The sequence below is a fragment of the Homo sapiens genome, chromosome 4, assembly GCF_000001405.40.
Source record: "Homo sapiens chromosome 4, GRCh38.p14 Primary Assembly".
NCBI lineage: Eukaryota > Metazoa > Chordata > Mammalia > Primates > Hominidae > Homo > Homo sapiens.
Window position 1 is genome coordinate 26,935,207 of NC_000004.12, and position 26,258 is coordinate 26,961,464.

General features: G+C 35.3%; 1 protein-coding gene across 3 annotated transcripts in view; it reads left to right on the forward strand.

Annotated features, from left to right (window-relative positions):
* Nucleotides 1-26,258, forward strand: part of STIM2 (stromal interaction molecule 2) — a 164,541-nt gene that overhangs the window by 74,366 nt on the left and 63,917 nt on the right. For all 3 annotated transcript variants that reach the window (NM_001169118.2, NM_001169117.2, NM_020860.4), the window contains exon 3: nt 22,406-22,520. In NM_001169118.2, coding sequence (NP_001162589.1) covers nt 22,406-22,520 — 115 coding nt within the window. The remainder of the gene's footprint in view (nt 1-22,405; nt 22,521-26,258) is intronic.

Sequence of the window (26,258 nt, forward strand, 5' to 3'; positions counted from 1 at the left end):
CTTATGTAGGTGGAAGTCATCTTATAGGGTATGTGTAAGGTATTTTGGTCTTCAGCAACTCACCAAAGCGTGCTGAGCATTACATACTTGTTTGTCATTTTGGTTACCTCTTCTTTGTTTACGTATATGTAACTATAGTTTAAATTATTCAAAATGAGATAGGCACTCTATACATCTTTTAGAAGCAAGATATTAAATAGAAAAAGGTTAGGGCCACCCTAATACTTCTCATTTAGCTTACAGAGTGAGAAAGGAGGGAAAGAAGTAGATGAAAATGGAGTTGGTGTAGTTCCAAGAAATTGCTCTAAGGAGTAAATAAATTGATGCTCCCTTGACAAGCAGTATTAACTTAACATGAAAACTTGTTAGAAATGCAAATTCTTGAGCCCCACCCCAACCCTACTGAATCAGCAGCTTGGGGATGGGACCTAGCAATCCGTTTTAACAAATCCTCTGGGTGATTCTGATGAAGTTTGAGAACCACTAGACTTTCAGGACTCTGATAGTAGCCAGAAGCTCTTTATCTTGACCTTTTATGAGTAGACAGTATAGTTACAAATCTTACTTTTTTTATGATTAGGTCTTTGAAAATATGGTTCATGACTTACTCTTTGTACCTTGATAAATCTTAAAGTTTTGCATTATATTTTTACAGTTCTTTTAATCTCAGGCACAATATTTATAAATATAAATACTACTGTGATGCTCTTGCAAGATACCTTGTTTTCTGCTCCTGTATTTTGTGACTTTACTTTTGCCAAGTTCAACCTTAAAAATTTCTTTGTATGTTTTATAGGAAGTCATTGACATTCAGTTACTATAAAGCAGGGTTGTATTTGTCTTTTTTATGTGGGGGAGGATCTTTTGGTTTTTAAAGTAAGATGGTTCTGTAACCTAGATGGTTAAGAATCATTGTGCAAGTTATTGAGACAGATTTTAAGAAAACATCTGATGATTTTATATTAGAATATTTCTTACTTAAATTGTGAAACTTCTACCTGGTCCCAGCATTTATTTAGTTTAGTACTTATGTCCTTATGTCCTGACAATTATAGTAACCTATTTACTGGAGTTTCTTCTCTGTCTCTTGCTTTTCCAGTTCATTTACCAACTGCTGTTGAGTTATCTTTTTGTTTATGACATTTGATAAGAGCTGATCCTCCCAGAGCATTTGTGGTCATGTATCTGCTTGTCCCTCAAAGCAACCACAATAGAAAACAGCTTTCTCTTATTCTACTGTTTCTTATCATCCAGACTATCTAATCTCTATGCTTGAGTTCTGATTTATTATTGGGGGTTCCCTCTTGCTGAGGCTGTCTTAGTCATAGGCCATTTGAGAAACACCATTGGTTGTATATAGTTCAGTTATATACAGATTAAATAGGATTTTGTGAACTAGGAAGTTAAACACCATAACATAGTTTCTGTGGAAAGATATGCTTCACTTAGTGGATACATACTCTTAAATGCAACCTACTTATAAACTGAGAATAACTGACTGTAGTATGAGATCTGTGTATGAAGAACCAAAAACTTCTGAAATCATTTCATAGTATGGAGCATCGAAACATTCAACCCAGTGCCTTTTGCCTTTTTTGTTTGAGACAGCATGTCGCTCTGTCACCCAGGCTGGAGTTCAGTGGCGTGAACATGACTCACCACAGCCTTGACCTCCTGGACTCCAGGCATCCTCCCACCTCAGCCTTCCAAGTAGCTGGGATACAGTCATGAGCCACCATGCCTGGCTAATTTTTATATTTTTTGTAGAGATGGGGTTCCAGCGTGTTGCCAGGCTGGTCTGGAACTTCTGGGCTCAAGCGATTTACCTGCCTCAACCTCTCAAAGTGTTAGAATTACAGGCATGAGCCACTGTGCCTGGTGCCTTTTGCTTTTTTCTGGGAGTTGCCACAACCCCTGCTTCAACTAATGACTGTTTTAGCCCCTTTCCCAAATTATTTTTGCTTTCATTAGTCAGACCATATGGTAATTATGTATTTTTTATTAAAAATTATTTCTAATTTCTGTTTCATTAATTTTTAGTTTACTGCAACAAGAATTTCCTATTAAACATTGTTACAGACCGGAAGGGGGCAGAGCAGTGGGAGTAGGGTTGTGAATTAGGACAGGACAGTGTGTCTGCACTTCCCTTTTTCAGTTCCAGCCTGATGGTACTGCCAGTGCTGCCATCTCCCCACTCCTTCCCTCAGCCTTTTCAGCATCACAGCACAGCATTGCATTGATCTAATATACTTTTTTGCGAGTTTAGGACACTTCACATAGTATCTCACCTTAAAGATGTTTTGATGAGTACAGACCTGTTTATTCCCATTTCACAAATGAATTGAATTGTGCCTTTACTGTAACATTAACATTATTAGCCTTGTATTATTATTATTATAGATAGGATGGCCATATAATTTATTATCCCAACTGGCATTTTTTCTGAGTGAAAGAGAGTGTTATTAATAATTACATCCAGACAAAGGGTGTAAACGAGGACTGTCCTAAGCAAATGGGCCATATAATCACCTTCGCCATATGGCTTATCAGCCTGCTTCAGTTGTACTTACCTTTATCTTTGTCTTGCTCCCTCACTAAGTTGTTATTAAATTGATCTAAGTTTTGTGCCAAGATTTCTGCTACTGCTAAACACTGGCTCTACCTCAGTTTGGTTTATCAGTCTGAGTCTTTTTGTATTGTATAGCTTGTTTTCTACTAACATGACGGAAACACTCAGCAACTTTCCATTCCTTTTTCTTTTTTGCAGATAAGTGATTTTTTGTCTTTTTTTCCTCTGGAAATAAATTTAAATAGCTTAATAATTTAAATAGCTTAAATTTAAATAGCTTTTAAAATTTTTAAATAAATTTTAAAAGAAAAATAGCTTTTTCTTATATTAAAATAATGTTGACTCTTTCATTGACTTTTAGAATTTTTTTTTCAGTAGCACATTTCTTGGTTTTCCCAAATTTTCTTTTTTTTTTTAAAACAAAAAAATGTCCCCAGCTTTATTGAGGTATATTTAACAAATAAAGATTGTGTATATGTAAGGTATATGATATGGTGATTTGATATCTTTATACATTGTGAAATGATTATTATCGCAGTCTTATCACCTCACATGTCAAAGGGTACAAACTTTCAGTTATAAGATGAAAAACTCTGGGGATCTAATGTGTAGCTAGTTACTATAGTTAATAATACTGTATCATATATTTGAACTTTGCTAGGAGAGTAGATCTTTTGTGTTTTTACCACAAAAACAAAGGTAACCAAGTTTTCATAACTGAAGAATTTTATATAATAGTCTTAAGTTTTCCTATGAACCTATCCAGCATTTAGCCTGCAGGAAGTTCTCCAAGCACTGACTGCTGCAGTCACTGATCACATAGTCTCAGGAGAGAGTTCTGCTCTAGAAAGCTGTTTGGATTGTCGTAAGGTAAAGTGCTAAGCTATATCAGGGAGGTGTAAGGTAAATAGTTCTTATCCTCAGATAACCTCACATTTAATGCTGTCTCACGTTATCTTCAGCAGTACTTTTTTGAGATGGACAGAAGTGTTCTCTCTTATAGATAAGGAGACAGAGGCTTAAGAGAGATTAAGTTATTTAAGTTACATAGTGTGTGTAAGGAGCACTAGGATTAGAGTCCAACTGTTCCAACTACTGTTCATTCTTCATAACATGTTTAGGCATAATTTCCAGTTTGTTTTTTTTTAAATTTTAAAATTTTTAACTTGTATTCAGTTTTGAGCCGTGGAAGCTGAAAGAGGCTCTCTGCATACATTCTTGAACTGGGTTTCTGTTAATATTGGATGGTCTGTTAATGTTAATATTGGAAACTTCTGGGTATTTAGTTCATTTACTAGGACCTCATACCCTGCTTGTTCCCTGTATTTTGGTTTGAATCTTACCATACTGAGTAAATTAGCACTCTAGGGGCTTGCTTTAGTACTTTTTCCCTGTCCTGCCCCTACATCTTGGCATGTGCTTCCTATCATCTAAACTCGTGAGAACTATTCCTATTTGACACGGTCCATCTTAAGGACTCTACCAAGAGTTATCTTGAGTCTTATCTTGAGCTTGGCTGGAGGATTCACCTTGCCTCTTTCCCCTGCTTACTAAATCTGTATTAGACTTTCTATCTTGGCCTTTCTGGGTCTGGCCTGATATTGTTCTTGACTTAGCATTGGTACTACCAAATATTGATGACATGCTTTGTACCACCCCACTGGCCTTTTAATAATCTTACTGGATCTAAAGGGCTGAATCGGATAAAGATAACTTTTTAAAATTAAAGAATATTTTGCCGGGATCCTGAAAATGTTACAAACAATTGATAATGAATATTTAAGAGCCTTTTACTTTAATTGTCAGTCCTTGCTAACTGACCTTTATTATTTTTTAATATCATACAAGTACCTGAAATGTCTTTTAAGTGTTAATTGGGGATGTTTGAAAATTTTTATGCGTGGTTTTTGTTTTGTTCTCATTTTCCCTTTGTTTTCTTTTCTTTGGCCTCCTGAAGGGCTTGGCAAACAGGTCTAAGGGCATTGTTGACCACTTGGTTAAAAACAAAACACATGTAAGATTTTGAAGTTCTCGTTTATATATTTAGCACTGTACTAAATATGGGGCAGATTGAAAAACTGAATATAGGCCCCATGAGTTAACTGTCTAGTAGGGCATATAATGTCATGTATGTATATACCACAAGGCATGTTACGGCAAACGATGTCCTAGTAATACACATGAATCGTGGCATGCTCTTGTGATGCACATCTGTTAGGGGAGCATCAAACAAAGCTCTGCGTAGAGTCGTTAAGACGAACTTTGTGAAATGGGAATAGTTTTCATGGGTTTAGATGATAGGAAGCACATGCCGTGATGTAGGTGCAGAACAGGGAAGTACTAAAGCAAGCCCCTTGAGTGCTGGTTTACTCAGTAGCAAATCATGCGGTCTGACTGGAGTCTTAATGTTGTTGAGGATAGGATTGAAAAGAACCTGCTTGGTTTTCCTTCTTCCTGCTCTTGCCTTTCCTCCACCATAAGTGTGTATGTTTTCGGTAAGATTTTTATCTTTGGGCCTCTTTCTTTCACTTCCTAGGACATTTTATTCAGGCCCATGGTTTTAATGATCACTTCTGCAAATATTCAGTTCTTTCTTCTGTCCACAATTTCATTCTCATGTTTGGCCTGTGCAGATCTCCAACTCAGTGTCCTAAGTGCTAATGAAATACATTGCTTTCTGTCTGTGCTTTTCTTTTTAGAAAGTCTCATGCTGGACCCATCACTGCCTTCCTTAAAAACACTGATTCTTATTTCTCTTTAAATGTGGTGTTGTTTTTATTAGTGGTATCACTGTTTTACCTACAACGGAGGCTTAGTGCTCCAGCCTTATCTTTGTTTGCTGCTTTGTCTGCCTCTCTGAGTTGAGTTTTATTATTATTATTTGATTTCTAACTAGTCTTGCCATTGCTTATCTTTTCCTTTTTGTAAATCCATTTTGACAATTATTACTTAGTTTAAACATTTTAGAACATAATATTTTGCTATTCTCTCCCCTACTCAAAAATTTATATTAGAGCCCCATAGTCCAGTGGTCTCAAATTTTAGTATGCATTAAAATTGCCAGGAAGACTTGTTAAAACACAGATGGCTGGGCCCACCCTCAGAGTTTGTGATTCTGTAGGTCTGGGATGAGACCCAAGAATTTGCATTTCTAATAGATTCCCAGGCAGTGCTGATACTGCTGGTCCAGGGACCATGCTCTGAGAACTGCTGCCATAGTCTTCCAAATATGGTTTGGGCTTCTTAGTTTGACATTCATGATCTTTTACAGTCTGGTCATATTCTGCCTTTGTAGCCATGATCACTTACTGTGAAGCTTCTTTGTGTGCTCTTTACTTTAACCAAAGTGACCTACTGACAGACAGCTTTTTGTACACATCCTGTATTCTCATGAGTATACAGGCATTTCCCTTAGGATTTCGTTCAGTCTCTTGTTTCATCTTGCTTGTCAAACCATCTTTTAAGATTAATTTAAAGATTTAGTTCAAGTGGAATCTTTTCTCTGTTTCTTGTTTTTTGTATTTTCTTCTATCATCCTTCTTCCAAGCCAAAGTAATCTCTTGCATTGCACTATTCCTTTATGGTATTTGTTGGTTTGTAGTTTAGCTTGACCCGTATTTCCATTTTCCATCCCTTATCCAGTTCACTCTTTGTGTTTTACCTGTCCAACATTAGTTACAGAGCATATGTTTGGTGATGGGGGAAATGAAATTTTCTGTAGATTATAAGCAGAAGGCCTAATAAGCCAGTATTCCCTGAATATTGATAGAGGATTTTCATGTTCAAAGAAATGGGTTATAGTTATTACCCTGAATCTCACTGATGGCAGCGAGATTTAAATTCTTACTTTCTCCCCTTAAAAAAGGACATTTAAAAATTATACTATGTAGCAAATTAATGGGATCTCCTAATTATTGGCTTTCTTAAAGATCCTAAGAGATGAGCAGTACCTTTTAAAGGTAAGTATCTTTTTAATGAATAAAATTGTGCCTATATAACATAATGAATTCCTTCAAATTCTTAATGGCTTAAAGTTTTTTGAGTTATATTTTATATACAATTCAATGTAGAGATTTTAGGTGTATAGTTTGATGAATTTTGAAAACTACACACTCAATTGTATTAATTGAGATTTGATTCTCAAATTTTAAAACTTTCACTTTCTTTTGTAGAAGACAATGAAGAGAAATCTTTGTATTACTGTAAAACCTGTTGTGTATTGTTTGGTCACTAATTTAAAAATAAATTCCATTGCTAGTTTATTTCCCATACTTGGTGATATGTTTAAAATCTTATCCCAGCAATCTAACAACTAACTGTAGATGTTACGATTGGGGTTGGGAAGTTTTTTTCTCTCACTGTCTGTGTCAGATAACCACTGGGGGCTCACCATCTGCATTTGTGTCCATAAGCTTTATCTTCTCTCCTACTACTGTGGATTCACTGTCTGTGTTCTTGCAAAGTGAATTTCTTTACCTGTGTACTTGATCTCATCCCCTATCCCTACTCTAAGGCAGTCCTTTTGCAATTTTTCTCTCCTCAGCAACCATATTTTCCCTTTTCTACTGTAATTTGCTCATGTGTTCAAACCTGGCATTATTTTTCTTACCTTTACACACAACAGAAGAACTTCTTGACTCTCCTTCTCCCTTTGGTTATTGCCTCATTCTTCCCTCCTTTGATTAGAAAACAAAAACTCTCAAAAGGACTTCTGTACTGTTTCTCTCCTCTTGTTTTTTCTTGAGCTCACTTAGGCTTTTGACTTCATTACACCACCAAAATTATTCTTATTGTGCTTATTAGTGATGTCCATGTGGCTATGCAGTGTTCAGTTCTCAGTCTTCATATCACTCACTAGTGTCATGATATGGTTTAATATATTTTCCTTTTTAAAGCAATTTTTTAAAAAACTTGATCTTAGAGAAACCATGCCATCCTTATTTTATTTCTACTATATTGGTTGCTGCTTTTCAGTTTTTTTGCTGGTTTCCCCTTTATCTCCTTGGACTACACGTATTAGTCTGTACATTGCTTTGCTTATTTTTACTGACCCTCTTGGTTATCTTACCTAATTTCAAGGCTTTTACATACCCTGTAACCGAGTCCTGAGCTCTGGCTTCATATATCCAACTGCATCAACATCTCTACTTAGATATCTATTAGTCATCTTAAATTTAAGGTTTAAAATTGAGTCCTGATTTCTTGCTTGACTCAAATCTCTTCTCTCTTGTCTTTGTTTTTTACAATGGAGTTGCTGTTTAAACAGCTGCATTATAACAATCTTTGAGTGGGCCCAAAAATTTGGCATCATCCTTGATGTTTTGTGATCTCATCTGCCATTGTTGATCGTTGCTGGGATTCATTAATTTATTAATGGTTGAAAAAATGCCAGTATTTTAATTCTATCCTTTTTTTTCATTAATTGGAATACTCTTTAAAGAAACATTTTAACACATCAATTATTTGGTTTCCTGTTTGTATAGGAAAGGCAAGAAAAATGATTGATTGAATCCCCTTATTTACACATATTCAAAATAATTAGGTAGTTTCCAAGGATCCTCTAAAGGCAATGAGAGGCAGGCTTGTGTGTATGTTTAGTATCATGAACTCATGATTTTAAATGAGCTTCAGGCTATGTTATCTTTTTTGTTGTTGTTTAAATTGCCCCAGTTTTGGCCAGTGGAAACTTACTTAGGCTCGCACCTGGATCCTTTAGGCACAACCTCGCCTTTGATAGGTTTCTTGCTTTCCGCAGTGACAAAATGTTCCATGTCCAGCTTGTACATTTCTGGCCCCAGAGTTCTGCTTTCTTCAGCTGTTTCTTCAAGGAGCTTTAATTTTGTTTAGTCAGAAACAGTATCTGATAGACCCCAATCCAAGTGCTAGCAGCGCTCCGTTAGTCATTGTTTCTATGTCTTCTCAGTGGATGGGGCTAAGAAATATTTTGTTGTTACTTTTTTTTCAAAGATAATATACACTATGAATTCAGTCTGATATTTATGATTCAGATTTAGTACTACAGGGTTTTAATTTAACTTTATTGGTCTTACCCCTGTATTTTCCTGTAGTCACACTGAAAATTTTGATTCTTAACAATACCAGCATAACTAGTCAGGATAAGAATACTAATGTTAAAACCAGTGGTGTAATTACCAAAAACAGTTTAATTATCTTGGAGTTCTTTTTTTTGTTTATAGACATATCCCTCTAGGCAAATATGATTAAAATCAGTGAGGATAGTTCCTAACTGTATGGTTATACCACTATCTAGATAATGTGGTTAGGTTGAATTGTTTTATTTTACTTGTGATTTTTAAGGATTACCTTTTAAAATTAATTTTGTTTTTATAATTATTGTTTTATACAAATATATACATGGTTCCACAGTCTAATCTAGGAAACAAAGTATATGCAAAAAGTATCACTTCTGTCTTTGTCTCATATACCGTATTTTCTCCATCCCTTTAAAGATAACCTTTCCCCCTCTTATTTTATGGTTTACTTGTTCTTTAATTTTTAAAATACAAGCAAAATATTTAAGTATTTTTATTCCCTATTTCCTTAGCAGATTAACCTTACTTGCTTCGAGTAACAATATACTTTTGATTTGACTTGTTTTCTTAGTTTCTGGGTCTCACATGCTAGGAAGTATGCTCTCTGAGGGTAGGGATTTTTGTTTCTTTTGTCTTGCTCTATTCCCACCATTGGTCCATAATAGATACTCAGTAAATATTTTTGTAAATAATTGCATTGTGCATTCATGGTGTTTTATCTCAATGCAAATTAAAATTTGTTAAAATAGAAGCCATTACTAAATACTCCAATTAAGAGTGACAAGATACCAAGGAGCTCACACTAGTATTGTAAAAGTTTATTTTTTTCTATTGTGTAATAATCTTTTCTAGTAACTTGTGAGAAGCTTCTCACACAAAGTTACAAAATGTTGTTTGTCAATTAACAATAAATGAATATCTGTTTTTCTCGTCAATCACGTGAATAGTATTTTCCCCAACACTATCTGTTAACTCTATGCGTATGTATTCTTATGTACATGGATTTGTGAAGGTGGTTCAATAAAGATTTTCAAATCTAATAGTGCATGGTGAATGTTTAAATGAATAAAGTGTATGTTGTGGGAATAGAGAGTATTTGGGAACTTTTTTGTTTGTAACTTTTAAGTTCAGGAGTACATGTGCAGGATGTGCAGATTTGTTACATCATTAAATGTGTGTCATGGGGGTTTGTTGTACAGATTATTTCATCACCCAGGTATTAAGCCTAGTATCCACTAGTTACTTTTCCTGATCCTCTCCCTCTTTTTACCCCCCACCCTCTGGGAGTCTCCAGTGTGTGTTGTTCCCCTCCATGTGTCCATGTGTTCTCATCATTTAGCTCCCACTTACAAATGAGAACATGCAGTATTTGGTTTTCTGTTCCTGTGTTAGTTTGCTAAGGATAGTGGCCTCCAGTTTCATTTGTGTCCCTGCAAAAGACATGATCTTGTTCTTTTTATGGCTGTGTAGTATTCCATGGTGTAAATGTACTGCATTTTCTTTATCCAGTCTGTCATTGATGGGCGTTTAGGTTGATTCCATGTCTTTACTATTGTGAATTGTACTGCAGTGAACATACATATGCATGTGTCTTTATAATGATAGATATGATTTATATTCCTTTGGGTGTATACCCAGTAATGAGATACACTAGTTTGAATGGTATTTCTGCCTCTAGGTCTTTGAGGAATGGCCACACTGTCTTCCACAATGGTTGAACTAATTTACACTCCCACCAACAGTGTAAAAGTGTTCCTTTTTCTCTACAACCTCTCCAGCATCTGTTATTTTTTGACTTTTAATAATAGCCATTCTGACTGGTGTGCAGTGGTATCTCATTGTGGTTTTGATTTGCATTTCTCTTATGATCAGTGATGTTGAGCTTTTTTCATATGCTTGTTGGCTGTATGTATGTCGTATTTTGAGAAGTGTCTGTTCATGTCCTTTGCCCACTTTTTAATGGGGTTTTTTTTTCTCATAAATTTAAGTTGTATTTGGGAACTTTTCGTACTTTTCACTCAGTGTTGCTGTGAACTTAACAAGCCTGTGAACCTAAAACTGCTCTAGAAAATAAAGTCTCGGAATCCATGGCATGTTTACAACATTATAGTGATGTCAGTTAGATTTGTGCTATGTGTCTTATATGTAAAATTGTTGCATTTGTATATGATGTCATTAATGTTAGTTGGACATGCAAAAATCATTATTTTTCTTCTATTAGTATTAAAGTGAAAAAAGTAAATGGAATATCCCAGAAACAGAACTGTGTATGTTTATGGTTAAGTTGAACCATAGGCAAACATTGATGTCCTACCATGTTTCAGTTGTATAAAGATAGTGTTGCAGATTATTGGGAATATTAAAGTTATTTCAATAAGTAATGCTTGAGTAATGAGTTAAGATTTAGAGAATGAAACTCAATTCTGACCTTTCACCTTATATCAAAAATAAACCAGATATATTAAAAAATTGACAAATGTGAAACTATACCAAAATTAGAAGAAAATATAGGTGATTACTTAACAGAACTTATTGGAACCTGTGATAAGAACCTGTCCGTTCCCTTAATGTAGTCTGATCAAACCTGATTCTTTAAGATTAGTAATGGAGGAAGAATCTGATGAGTGGAACTGCTCAAGTCATAGCTTTGACTCTTACTTCCAGATATCTTTCTTCTCTGTGTGAGGGGCCTCACTATTTGCTGCTGTAGTCACCTGACTAGTTTGTGTGTGTGTGTGCGCACGCATGCGTGCACACATGTATGTCCACATGCTCCTGTATGCTTGCACTTCTGTGCACTCTTTTTTTCTGACTTTCCGATGGCATATCCCTTTCCTTTTGCTTCCTACAAAGCTGAAACAAATTTTGAATGGCTTTATATCCCTTAATCTTTAGAAAAAGGATGCATAGACATAAAAATATGCAGTTGGATAATCTGGTTTATTACATCAGTTTACCAGTTTGGTTTTGTGGTTTCTTATAATTCGCGGTCTCTTGTGTTATTTCCCTGTGTCAAAAACCATCTTTGCTTACTACTGGTCATTAAATGATTCCAGACCCTGTATACTAGACCTAAGATATGGGGACTAGCAAGCTAGAGTTTTATTTGACTATATTTTAGGATGATTTTGGCTGCAAGTAATAGAATACCTGAATTCAAGTGGCTTGAACAATAGGAGTTTAATATTTGAAAATGCATTATCATAAGTGAGGAGCTAAATGGTTTTAAGGTTAGTACAGAGGCTCAGTGATGTGTAGGTCTCTGCGTTAGCTTTTCTTTCATTGGCTTTCTACTCATGGTTGGACATGGCTGCAGTAGCTCCAAGTGTTGTATTCTCCCATGATAACATCAGAACTTAGGAGGTTGGAGGGATGCTGTTCTTCTTTCATCTCTGTCTCTCTTTCTCTGTTTTATTAGAGAGAACACTGACAGATTCCCATATTAAAATAAGTATGGAATAAACATTTTACATACGAAATACAAATAGTTAATAAAAGTTTGAGAATTTATAATCTTAAAATTATAATAAATTCATATCGAAACGTATTACATTTTATTTTTCAAATGGTACAAATATATATATAAAATGATAAAGCTTGTGAAAATGTCTTGATTCAGGTACTCATAATACCAGTGTGGGTGGGGAGTGGGGGAAATTGGCCGGGCCAGGGCTCTCTTTGCAGATTATCTGCAGTCAGAAGTGTGGGACTTGGAGGAGGGGGCTGAGGCCACAGCCGCATCTTGATCAGGCTTTCTCCAGCCCTCCATCAGCCTCACCAGATCTCCATTCTTTGCCACGAGGGCCAACACGTGAGACCCCATCTTCCTGCTCGCCAGCCCTAGACCTGTTGGAGCATAAAGCGCTTCCTCCCCAGGTCTGAGTGTGTGGGGCTCTGCTTTGGCACTGCCCCACGGAAGCCACGGCCTCTTCATTCTGTTTCTGTTGTTTTGTTTTTAACAACTGTACTTTGCACACATGAAAAAAAAATAATAAAAGTTGTTCCAGAGGCAACTTGACTCTGTGTATCAAAAGCCTTATAATCGTATGTCTATCTTTTTCTAAGAACCTATCCAAAGGAAATCATCAGAAGTTGGCAAAAATATATATACAGGGATCTTTCTTTATAATCAGGAAAATTTTTACATGCTGTAAACATTCCATAATAGGGATATTGCAGGTGAAAATTCCATTCTAATTTACAAAAGCAAAAAGGAAATGTATTGGGTCATATAGCTGAACAATCTAGAATTGTTCAGGTATGATTGGATTCTTGTGCTCGAACACCTGTCATCAGAACTCTGCCACTCTCTCTCAGCTTTGCTTTCTTTGCTGGCCGTATTATTCTCAGGTTCATTCTCCCTGTATATCTCTCAACAGCTCTAGGTCAAATCCTGCTAGTTTTCTGTGGCCACAGCAGAGAGAGCTTATTTTTTCCAGGTGTTCCAACGAAAGTGCTGAGTGGGATTCATATTGGTTCTAATAGTTCTGACATGGTCATATGCCTACCTCCAGCCCCTCCCTGTGGAATAGGGATAGTCTTATTGGCTAGGCTTCCTCAATTCAAACATGCATCTCCACAGAGGGGACGAACTGGCAGACCGTGACATGTTTGCAAAAAGAAGTAGTGTTCAAAATGATGGCCTTGTATTTGATCAGGCACAGTGGCGTACGCCTGAAATCCTAGTATTTCGGGAGGCAAGTTGGAAGGATTGCTTGAGCCCAGGAGTTCGAGACCAGCCTAGGCAACATAGTGAGACATTGTCTCTATAAAAAGAAAATCTTAACCCCTCCCCAAAACTTCATATGATAAGGCAGTTTATTTTAGAATGTTTTCCACTAAAATTGCTTAAAATTAGAATGTTTTGGTGCTAAAAGAGGCAGCCTTCAGTATTCTGGAAATGCCTTCATTTTCTGACATTGTGGGATAAATTATGTATTACTAATTCTTTAGTTTTTTTTTTTAAAGGAAATTGTAATTAATATTGCAGTGACCATTAGTAGTCTTGGGATTATTGGGTAACAAAGGGCTAGTGACTTCTCAGAAACCAAGTCTTTGGTTGTTAGAAGATTCTTGTTAGCTTCCTTGAGAAGTAAAAATGAGGAGAACTACAGAATAATGACTATTAAGTGGTGATGATAGGTAAGGCACACCCTAGTGAATTGACACAGTACATACAGTGTATTCATTTTGTTTCTTTGTAGAATATTATTTTTTCTTCAGTCTTAATCTTCCAATATCACTTTTTACGGACTTAGAATAGAATTGCTTTTCTTTTTGTTTAGATAGTCTCTTATTTTTCCTTATCCTATTACATAGTAAATCTTGACAAATTAATTTTGATACATTATATTTTGGGTTTTATTAATATTATCCATATTTATAGCCAGAGTTATTCTCTGAATGCTGAGTGCCACAAAGCTTTCTCATAATTATCAATGTCTGTATTCATTCAAAATATTTCTAAAAGTAGCAACTCCAGAATTTACTTTGGTATGATCTGTCTTATGGTCTAAATTATTGACCTTTATTTTATCTCACAGTCCTCTATGTATTTTAACATAGTTAAGTAGTAAAATTCTTTTATTGGTGACTAGATGAACTATATAACTCATCATTAAAATTATAAGTACTAATGTAAAGTTTCTTTTTCAATGAGAACTATGTGTGGTTTATTATATATATGTATAGTGAAATAAAGGCCCTATAGTGGTTATGAAATTGGTATCCAGCTTCTCTTTCCAAAGAAAGTGGTAATAACCTCTAATCAGTGTGCTTGAGGAACAGTTCTGATACAGTTTTAGGTCTGCTTCCTGTGTCTCACTCTGAAATGCCTCCATCTTACTTCAGGGTCTTTATGGTTGAATTTGCGTATGTGTGTGTATTAACTTAAGCAGGTGCTCACAGTTTAATGTGTAAATATTGTATTTCCTCCTTGGCTCCTCCTCTTATCTTCCTGATGGCCCATCCCATCCCCCATTCATTATCAGTGTTACTGCTTGTGATTTTTCTCCTGTAACATTCTTTATGTTCATAAAATCATATGCAAATATATACATAAGTTTTTACGTTTTTGCTTTATAAAAATATTAATCAAATTGAATACTTAAAATATTTTAATGAAGAATATTTCTAAATTGTATTTTATAAATACAATATAGCTTTCTTTTAAGTGCTTACAGGTACTCACTTAACGTGAAAGTAAGTGTAACACACGGTATTCTCAGTGATGGATACTAGAAATAATTACCTGGCCTTCCATATAACACATAATCTTATCTGCAATATATTTCCACTGTTAGTGCTCTACAACTTAATTAGAGCTCTAGTATCAAAAAGAACCAGTGACAGCTATTTCATGTTTTAAGCATTCAGACTAATTGTAGTCTTTATGTTTTTATGACACAAAACAGCTTTCAGTTGACTCTGTTGAAATTAAAAGCTTCTTCAATATATAATTTTTGTCTTATTGGTATTATCTTATGTACAAAAACTGCATACCTATGGTACAATCTACACACTCCTGTTTTAGATAGAAATTTTGATTCTCTCTTGAACCATAAATTCAGATTGGAAGAAGCATTATGGCTTGAATGTGTTCCCCAAAATTTATGTGTTGGAAGCTTAATCCACAATGTAACAGTGGTGGGTGGTGGGGCCTCATGGGAGGTGCTTAGACTATGAGGGGATTAGTGCCACAATAAAAAGGGCCTGTGGGAGTGGGTGCTCTTTTATGCCCTTTAGCCTTCTGCTATATTAGGATGTAGTAACAAGGCACTCACCAGATGATGCTGGTGCCTTGATTTGGACTTCCCAGCCTCCAGAACTGTGAGAAAAATAAACTTATGTTCTTTATAAATAATCACACAGTCTCAGTTATTCTGTTATAGCAGCACAAAATGGACTAAGACAAAGGTGTTTTTTGATAGAATGCCTCCTTTCATGTGACCCTATGACTCTGGGAATGCTGTGTTGTTCTTGGGAGTTAGCAAGCAGTGCCTTGGTGGACCCAAGTAACATTAGGCTAGAAGTTAAGAGAGAGTATGAAAATGTACATTAGAAGCTTTCATAGGTTTGTTGTTCTTTTTTTTTTAAATGTATCAGATCAGCCATCAAAGCTTCTAATCAGCATGAAACAAATTCCAGAGTGATCAAACTCAACTGATGTAATTTTATTAAATATCAGATAGCTATATTGTAAGCTTTTCTTTTTTATTAAGGGTAAACGGATATACCTGCTTTTACATTTTGCCCTGATGGTGTCATAATTTGTCAAATGTTTATTACTGGTGGGCAGTTTGGATAGTCATAAAATTTTTATTCATAATATTGCAATGAAAACTCTTGAACTTTTTATACAGTTATCTGAGCGTTACTATAGAATAAATTCTGAAAAGTAGAAATTCTTGGTTAAAGGTAATGAGCATTTAACATTTTAATTGATATTGCTAGAATTTTCCCCCTGCAAAGGTTACACTAGTTTGTACTCCCACAGATGTACGAATGTGCCATTTCCCACACAAAGTCCCGTCTTTTCAACTCAGGGAAACTGCGTGGCACTGTTGGGTTCCCTCTTCTTGCACCTTTTCCTAGAAATTCTCTCCAGGAACTCATTTAGGGCAGTCATACGGCACAGTTGTTTGTTTCTGGTCATCTCAGGGATCACTGTTCTTTGTGTTCAGTGCCTTGTGTTCATGCCTTGTGTTCAGTATCTTGAAAACTGTTGTTTGTATATTGTGTCTGTTTTTTAGTTGTTTTTTGAGGGCCTGTGAGTATGGTAAATCCGGTCCCTGTAACCTCATCTTTGCTGGTAATGCAAATTCTGACTTACTAAAGTTTAGCAAATAAAACACAGAAGGAGATTTTTTTCATTTGTTAAATCTGAAATGCTTACCTCTACTTAAAGTGAATATTAACATGAATATTAATGTTAATTCCAAATGACTTGCTATATATATTTTTGATGTAATGGTGATTGGATATAATGTTAACTTATGTGATTGTGTGAGTATTGATCATGTCTAAGTAATGGATGGCAAGAAACACTCAAGTGGGTATTTAGGTATGCAGAGTTCTGGCATCAGAGGCCAAAGCCTAATGGTAGATTTTGGCTGGATCATGGTGGGAGGCAAAAGGACTTCTTACATGGCGGCAGCAAGAGAAAATGAGGAAGATTCAAAAGCAGAAACCCCTGATAAGACCAAGACCATCAGATCTTGTGAGACTTACTACCACGAGAACAGTATGGGGGAAACTGCCCCCATGATTCAAATTATCTCCCACCGGGTCCCTCCCACAACAGGTGGGAATTATGGGAGTACAATTCAAGATGAGATTTGGGTGGGGACACATCCAAACCATATCAGAGGATGAGATCAAGGTTATTAAAACAAAGAATGTCTTAATAGTAACCTCTATCTCTATACAAATTACGGTGTCTTGGGTTGTGAGTTTCAGTTAAGATTTGGTATTGCTGTTGTTTGTAGATTTAATTCTTAGATCAGTGATTATCAGCTGGTGTTTGTAGTACCTCACACTGTCTTCATTCGTGTCCAAGAAATCATACAGAATATGTAAATCAAGGTAAAAATTCAGCTCATTATTTTGAAAAATAAATGATTTACAATAAAATAGTTGACATTGAGTGTCGACTATGTACCAAGCACTTTTTTTTTGCACTTCATGTGAAATAAAGAACTTAATCCTCATAACCCTTTGAAGGTGACCATTTTGCAGGGGAGAAAACTGAAGCACAGAGAGTCAAGTAACTTACTACAGTCATAAAACAAGTAGGAGATTTGAGATATCTGTGTAGTCTAGACCAATTCTGTGCTCTCAAACACTGTGCTATCTGTTTGATAGAACAGTTTTAAGATGAAGAGAGAAACATGGGCAGTTCATGCTTTATTAACATGTTATCACATCTAAGAGTTTAGGATCCATGCATTTATACAGAACATCCAGGTGAGCATGGTGGTGAAGAACTTAGACTTTAGAATTCTTTAAAACTTACTTCCAGAATTGGGTCTCCTTTTAAATAGCTATATGAAATAGAATACATTACTGACTCTCTCTTAGCCTTAGTTTTTTCATCTTTAAAAGTGGGAATAATAGTAGTACTTTTCTTGTGGATTTTTTCCTCTGAGACATTATACTAAGCTATTTTAGTAGTATTTTCAAGACCTTGCAATTGTTTATGAAGAACCCATCTGTTTTACTGACTCACATATCAGACCTTGGACATTGTGTTGTTTTGATGACAGGTGTCGTTTGGGAAAGTCTCTGCTTACATTGTCAGTAAAGAAACTGTGGTGGTTTTCCGCTCCATCCCTGTTATGTATTTTGTTTCAGGATATCTGAAATGGGTGTATTGGGAAACCTTACATAAATGTCTGATATTCCCCAAAACATGTATTAAACCTTCCAATATAATCAGAGTGATGCTCATTTATTCATGTTTTAAACTTTGACATTGATTCAACATGGACATATAAAAACCACTCAAAATATTTTGTCTAACACTTTTGCATATACTATGTATGCCTTTTAATTTAATCTTTGTAACCTTATGTAGTAGACAATTTTATTTTCCTCATTCTACAGAAGAGAAAAATGGGGCTAATGAGCACTTAAATGCTTGCAAATGTCTTATAGTAAGTAGTGGAGTCAGGTTTTGAGTATATGTCAGACTTGAGTCTGCATGCCTATGATGATAAATCACCTCTCCTGAGTATTGACGTCTTAAAATTATGTATCTAAAAATAGAAGGGGAAACAGACTTATGGAAATCAGGATAAAAATTGTGCAAAACAGGCCTCCCGAGGAACTAAAAGTAGAAAGTCACCAAGAATGGAGGCTGTTCCTGGTGCTATGTCTTTCCCTGTGGTCACCTCTGTTCTCTTTCATTATTTTCTCTTTCTGCATATTTATTGGCTTCCTCTGTTTGCCTTACCACCTAGACTGTCTCGACTACTCATAAAATGGTACATTCAACATCAGTGTGTTTATCACCCTAAAAGTCCAGAGCCATGGCCAAGTGGTCCAGTTTTTCATGATCTCAGTTATAATTTACTGTGAGAAGAATCCTGCCATCCTGGCACAGGCTCAGGGTTGTTCTCCTCTAGGTGAGGTGTCTGTCAGTCCTTTGATCAGATAGCTGTGGTTATGGATGATAGATTGAGAGGGGGTGACTAGACACACACAGGGATCTACACTAATGTTGGTGAGTATTTGTCTGGGAAAAGGGTATGGCCTGAATACAGCCCCAGAATGTGTCTATAATAACATATATCAGATTTTATTAAAGTGGTGTCATAAAAATAACAGCACAAATACAACATTTAAGTTACAGGTATGAGAAACTGAAATCAGTTTATTATATGAAAACTAACTTCCCCAAACTGGATATGTAAAGCATTAACTTTCAGTGGTACTAGAAGAGTTTATTTAAAAGAATCGTCTGAGCGAATCTTTTAAAAAGAATATTCAGTAGTCATTTATTTGCTGAGCACTCCCTTATGTACCTTGTCAATTTAGGATTCCCTATAGTAGGTTTGCATATAATTGGGTGTATTTACCAGGGAACTCTACATTATTTGCCGTACATTATTTGAAGACTCACTTCATTGAATTTCAGATCCTATTTTCAGATTTCTCAATTCATGAATTCCAAATAAGAAGTATTTGTCTTTTGACAAATGAATACAAAGAAGAAGTATTTGTCTTTTGTGTATGCATTTTCAGTTATTGGTGACTGTTTTAAAATTTCTGTAGTTACCCTACTTCATTGCTAAAATGAGGAGGGGTTTTTAATAAAGTTTTTGAAAAGTCTGAACAATCAGAATTATATGCTTTTTTCTTTAGGATACTGGGAAAAGGTTCCATAGAACCTGATGATTTTTAATGTGTTTGGTTCATTTAAACATTTTCTAAACAAAAATATTTCTAATTATACTGGTTTCTAGTCACATTCCGTGATCAGCATGTTGAAGATCTGTAAGATACAGAATATACTTTTATTTCATGTGGTTTGTTACGAGTTATTGTGATATCCTGGAGACATACTTCTGTTTTAAAACAGAAGTATTTTTAGATGGTAATTCCAGGGAAAATACAATTCATTGTGTTTATTCAATTTTCACCCAACTTTATTAGGAATTTTATTTCTTAGGAATTCTTTATTATTTTTTCTTAGAAATTTCTTAGAAATTAAATTCCTTAGAAATAAAATTTCTTAGAAATTTTATTTCTAAGAATTCTTAGGAATTCTTAGGAGTTCTTTTATACCATATGAGCTATAGGTATCTTCAAAAGTTTTAAAAAATTAAAAAAATCTTTTATTTTGTTAAGTATGTTTGGCATATATCCATAAGCTCATTCTGGCTTTTCTAAAATAGTTAAGTGGCTAGAATACCACATCTAGTCATGTGGAAATTTGCTTATTTTCTGTAATATATTGATCCTGAAATCACAGAACTGCACGTTTAGATTGTTTGAGTTCATGTAGTAAAGATAATTTTTTAGGACATTGTCTTTAATATATATTACGTAAATGAAACAGTTGCCATTTGTTCCAACTGATTGGACCATTTCCAAGGCAGATTTCCTCCCTGCTATGTCCATTATTATGATTTTCAGTCTAGAATTTCTTTCCAGCTCTTGGACTTTTTCCAAGATAGAGACAACTTCTGAGCATCTCTTTGGTAGTCTCTACTGAATTTTGAAGGTGTCAGTCAAGAAGAGTTGGATGACAGGAGGACTTGTAGCATTCAGGCAGGCCCCCTTAAATATAACTTAAGGCAGCATTTAGTAAAAAGGAGTAAGGCACTATTTAGAGCAGACAACAGATTACATAGATTTTTTTAGTTTAGTACTTTTCAAACTTTTGATGACGAAAGACCAGATGTTTAATTTCCAGTATATATGTACAGGGTGGACAAGGTGAGCATATTTATCATATGCTCGGCCCAGTTGCTGTGGAAGTGTTTTCTAATTGCCATAATGCTGACACTACTCTGCTGAATGACCACATGTTCAACAGTGTTGTTGATCCTAGAACATTGTTTCTTTATTTTGCTCCCAAGGTTGTTGAGCCTCAGAAAAGTTAAATGATTTGCTCAATATTATACAATTGTTAAAATTTTCTTTTTTAGTTTCAGTAGACAGCAACTCTACTCAGGCAGAATTTGGTGTTTTGTCTGAAGGTGATGTTCATTGCCAGTGTAAAAGTCAGAAAAATATGCCTCTGGCATTTGTAGCTGTGGGGGAATTTTCAGTTTCTGCATTGTGGACTTCTGAAATCTTTTATGTGATCTTATAGTTTTGGAACAATAGAAAAAAAAGATACCATATAAAATAACGAGACAAGAAAAATAAAAAATATTGAGGTAGAAAAAGCATAAACAATTTAAAAACTATTAGTTTCACATAATTAGAGTAATGGGTACATATATGAGCAAAGTATCAAGAGATAAGGCCTAAAAGATTCTCAGAGATAAGATTAATAAGTGGTATTAAGCCATAAAATGGAGTTTGCTTTTTATTGTTAGACAATGGGAAATGGTTTAAAAAGTAATATAGAACAGGTTAGTTTTTAGCAAAGATGATTTCAATGCCTTTTTTTTTTTTTTTTAAGAGACAGGTTCTTGCCTTGTTGCCCAGGTTGGAGTGCAGTGGTGCAATCATAGCTCACTGCAGCCTCAAACTCCTGGGCTCAAGCAATTCTCCTGCCTCAGCCTATCTCTCTCTATATTTCAAAGTAAGATTAATAGAAGGTATACTTCAGTTTTGTAAAGTATACTTTAGCTCTAAACACCATAATCAAATGTCTTTGAATTAAAAGTAGTAGCTTAAAAAAGGCAGAAGAACATAGAAATATGATGCAGTAATTGAGAAGATTATTATTTATTATGTTTTGAAACATCGCTGTCACCAAGTATTTGGTAAAAATGAATGCAGTGATATTGAGGCAGTATATTATGCTGTTGAATATAACCAAATGGCTTGCGTTGGAATTTCAGCTCGATATTCATTATTTTTTCAACCTTGGGCAAATTACTTAGCCTCTTTGGGCCTTGGTTTCTCATCTATTGAATGAAGATAAATAATGCTTTCCTTATAGGACTGTCGTAAAGGTAAATGACTTTCTCTGTATGGACAGATATACAGTGGTCCCTTGGTGTCTGTGGGGGATTAGTTTCAGGACTCCCTCTTCCCCTGCGGATACCAAAATTCATGGATACTCAAATCCCTTATATAAAAATGATATAGCATTTGGATATAACCTACAGACATCCTCCCATATAAATTGTTTCTAGATTACTTACAGTACTTAATACAGTGTAAATGCTATGTAAATAGTTGTTGTAATATATTGTTTAGGGAATAATGATTTTTAAAACTCTGTACCTGTTCAGTACAGACACAGCCATCCATTTTCCCCCAAATATTTTCAATCCCACGAATACTGAACCCACAGATAAGGAGGGGGTGACTGTATACACCTATTTGTTATATAACTTAGAATAATACCCGGTAAATAATAAACATTGACTAAGTACTTCTACTGCTGTTGCTGGTGGTGGTGGCGTTACGATTAGTAGCAGAAGACATTTCATTAAATACATTTTACAAACATGTAAGAATAATGTGACTACAATACCAAAAATTTGCCAGTTACTGTTTGAAAATAGTCACCCACTGGATATCAGATTTCATCTTTTTCTCTAGTTGTCAAGACTAAGGTAATGAATTTATATTTAACTTAATGTTTTCTCTTCTATAGTTCATCAGAGAAGATATGAAATATAAAGATGCTACTAATAAACACAGCCATCTGCACAGAGAAGATAAACATATAACGATTGAGGATTTATGGAAACGATGGAAAACATCAGAAGGTAAGACTGCCTTTGTGATCTGGCCCCCTCCCCTTCTGCACATCTAGCCTGCTTAGTTGTTCTCAACTCACTTATAGTATGCTTTTACCAAAAAAATCAAAATAACATTTCTGTGAGGATATTTATATTTTAGTAAATAATTTTCCCTTCTTGTTTTTGATAGATGATTTTTATCTTTCTGAGAGTCATTAAGCATCAGGCTGTTCTCATATAATTATAGTAGAATAAATAAGATAATGCATGTCTGAGAGCCTAAAGTTGTAAAGCATTATTTCAGCTATTACGTGACATTATTATAAAAGGTTTAGCAAATAAACATATGGAAACACAAAGTTTTCCTTTTAGTTGTGGAGAATAGTTCCTAATGTTTTTAGGAGGCTATTACTGTTAAGCTTTTTCTTAAGTAAATCCTTTATGATGTCTCGTAATAGGTGTATGATAAAATTGGATAATTGGTATTTTATTCCCTTTCTACTGTTAAGTTCTCAAGGTGTATTATGGACAGTAATTGTTTAGTACAGGAAAAGTCTGTGATCTAAAAATCTCAACTTGGTTCCATATACTAGGAAGTTACTAAAATTAAAAAAATTTTACAAGTCCCCTAAACTTACATTTTGTTTTCAGTAACTCAACTAAAATTCCTTCTTTCTAATGCTTCTGTTCTTTCATAAAAGTCAGCAATTATATTGTAAGCATATATTTTTCTCTGAAAAATTAAACGAAATTAAAGGGACAGATTACCAATTAAGAGTGTAAAGAAATAATAAAGTTTACTTGAGTCATTATGATAACATTTAGAAGTGGGAAAATAAATAAAACTGTCCCACCAATGCTCAGTATTTTTCTTAGTGTAGAAGATGGTAGATAGCTTGCTTACATGTGTTTCTGTTGAAATACACTTGGGTTGGGGAAGAAAGAAGAAAACAATTATGCACTTAAAAGAAAAATATATAGACTTTTAAAAAAACCTCTCCATTTCTCTTCCCTACACCATTTTAAAATAACATGAGCTCGGATAGGAATAGAAATAAACAAATATCAGTTTCATGAGGAAAAGTGAAAATGGTGGGGAACTCAGCAACAAACTTATTTTATTGACACGACATAGCTCAGCAATCCATAGATACTAAGAAGGGAGGTGGAGATCCATTACAGAGTCTATTGCTATTAGTATTTTTTTAAGGATTAAAATATGTAATACATTGATTGGAACCCACTTGACTGTGTTTGAATGAAGAAAAAAATATTTGACCACTTAGGTCTTGTACTACCTTTGTTCAGCCACCATCGTCTCTTGCCTGGATAATTGTGACAGCCTAATTCATCTCCCTGTGTTTGTGCTCTGCTGTAGTCTCTTCTTCACCTAGCAGAGTACTCTAAAATGTAAATTAGATCTGCTCATTACTCTGTAGTGACTCAGAGTAATAGTCCAAATCTTTACAAAGACCCGTAAGCCTCTACATGTTCTGCCTTCTGTTTCCACCTCTCTCTCATCTCTTACCTCTTCTATTCCATGCATCTCTCTCGCTCACTGTGCTCCATTCATTCTGGACCTGTGGCTATTCAACAAATGCAGGAATGCACACATCCTCATGGCTAACTCCATCACCTCCTTTGTTAAAGTCTTTATCAAGGGTTATGGTCTCAGTGAAACCACTCTGGCCACCCTGTTTAACATTGCTAACCTCCCCTTTTACTCATTTTTTTTTCTGGTACTCTTGATCTTTCTTACTCAGCTTCACACTTTCCTTTTCCCCATCGTGTATCACCTTCTAAGATACTATATAATTGACTTGCTCATTATATATATCTCCCTTTGCCTCACCCCCAAGAATGTAAGTGTTATAGAGCAGGGGAATGTTGTATGTTTTGTTTATTAATGTATCCTAAATAAAGAGGACTCTATTCTTAAACTCCTTTTTGTTTTCCCACCCTAGTGACTTTGGTGAGATCTTTTGTGATCTATGAGAATGTTTGTTTACTTGATTTTTTTTTTTTTTAAGCTAAGGCCTTTTCAAGTTGAATGACGTCTTAAACCTCTTTTTCCCTAGGCTTTCACCTTAATCTGAGATCTAACCATTATGATAATGAGGGATTTCCTCAGTTCAAACAGTTGGCCTAAGTTATCTCCTCTCTGCTTCCTTTTCTCTAAGCCCCAGTTGGCTATATAACCTTACAGAGTCTGGCAGAAGTAGTCTCAGTATTCCTAGTAATGCAGCTGTATGGGATGAAAGAGAGAGGAGTCAAGTGATAATAAACTTTCACTAGAAGCTTTATAATGACCTAATTGATTTTTCTCAACCCATGTCAGACTCTGTTTATTAAAGGGGTCATGTAAGGGTGGGGTATTGTTGCCAGAGCACTGGTTTTTAAAACATTCAGGCTCCAGGAGGAGTCCCAGGGACAGGGCATGTTGAGTGTGCCGGGCTCTGCTTTTATCTGTTATATTTTGTTTCTGTTGAAAATTTCTCTGGAGAAACGAAAAGTAGTTCTTCTGAAAAAGTTTGAAAACTGCTGAAGTAGAGATTAGAATGTACCCCTAACAATAACATGTAATTCAAGGTTGTTTACTTGAATATATACAAAAGTGTGTGTATGTGTGTATATATGTATTTATACAGAAAGTGTGTATGTTTGTGTGTATGTGTGTATGTATATATATGTATATATAAAACACACACACACATACATACACATGCAAATATATGCATTCATTCTTTGCTTATCATTGTTGTGTCTCCCATGCCTAGCACAGTGCATTCACTTTGTATTCAGTAGTAAATATTCACTTTGATATTCAGTAAATAATTGTTGAATGAATGAAAGAGTAATGCCTGATAAGTATTGGATGCTTAGTAATTTAGTTGGTCAAATGTTTTGAGTACAGGCATTTCTGTTATTAGACATTATGTGCATTTCTTAAAAACTTAACGTTTTTTAAAATTTTGGACTTAAAAATGACAGTTTATGGGAAAAATGGGACTGAAGGAGATTACTCAAAACCTGTACAACTTATTAGCCATGGCATTAACAGTATTAATAAAAATACTAGTACAGGCCAGGCGCAGTGGCTCATGCCTGTAATCCAGCACTCTGGGAGGCCTAGGCGAGCAGAGCACCTGAGGTCAGGAGTTCAAGACCAGCCTGGCCAACATGGCAAAACCCTGTCTCTACTAAAAATACAAAAATTAACTAGGCTTGTTGGTGCGCTCCCGTCATCCCAGCTACTAGGGAGGCTTAGGCAGCAGAATCACTTGAACCTGGGAGTGCGCTACTGCACTCCGTCTCAAAAAAAAAAAAAATACTTGTACCGCTAAAAAGAATTTCAAATTCCTAATCAATACATACTATATAGTAGATATAGGAATTTACATTAAAAAATAATGAAGATAACTTTATAGAAGGATGGATGGGGGGTTCTAGTAGAGTTGAGGTTGCTAAAAAATGAAGACAAGGGCAAAGTGCATGAAGATGAGAACCGAGCAACAAGCATTTCCAAGACAGAGGCTCTGGCCAAATTGAGCAAAGATAAAGAAGGAGGGTAAGTAGAAGCTCCTGTTTGTAGCTTGCTGTATTGGCAGTTAGTACACCTTGCATCCATTTGATAATTACTTGGCAATGTGAAATGATACCATGTTTGGAAAAGTCACATGTGAAATGATGTGACTTTTGCGTTGATGTGACCCCTAATTACTAGTGGCACATAAAGTAATTCATGTTACAGCAGCACGTGCAGCA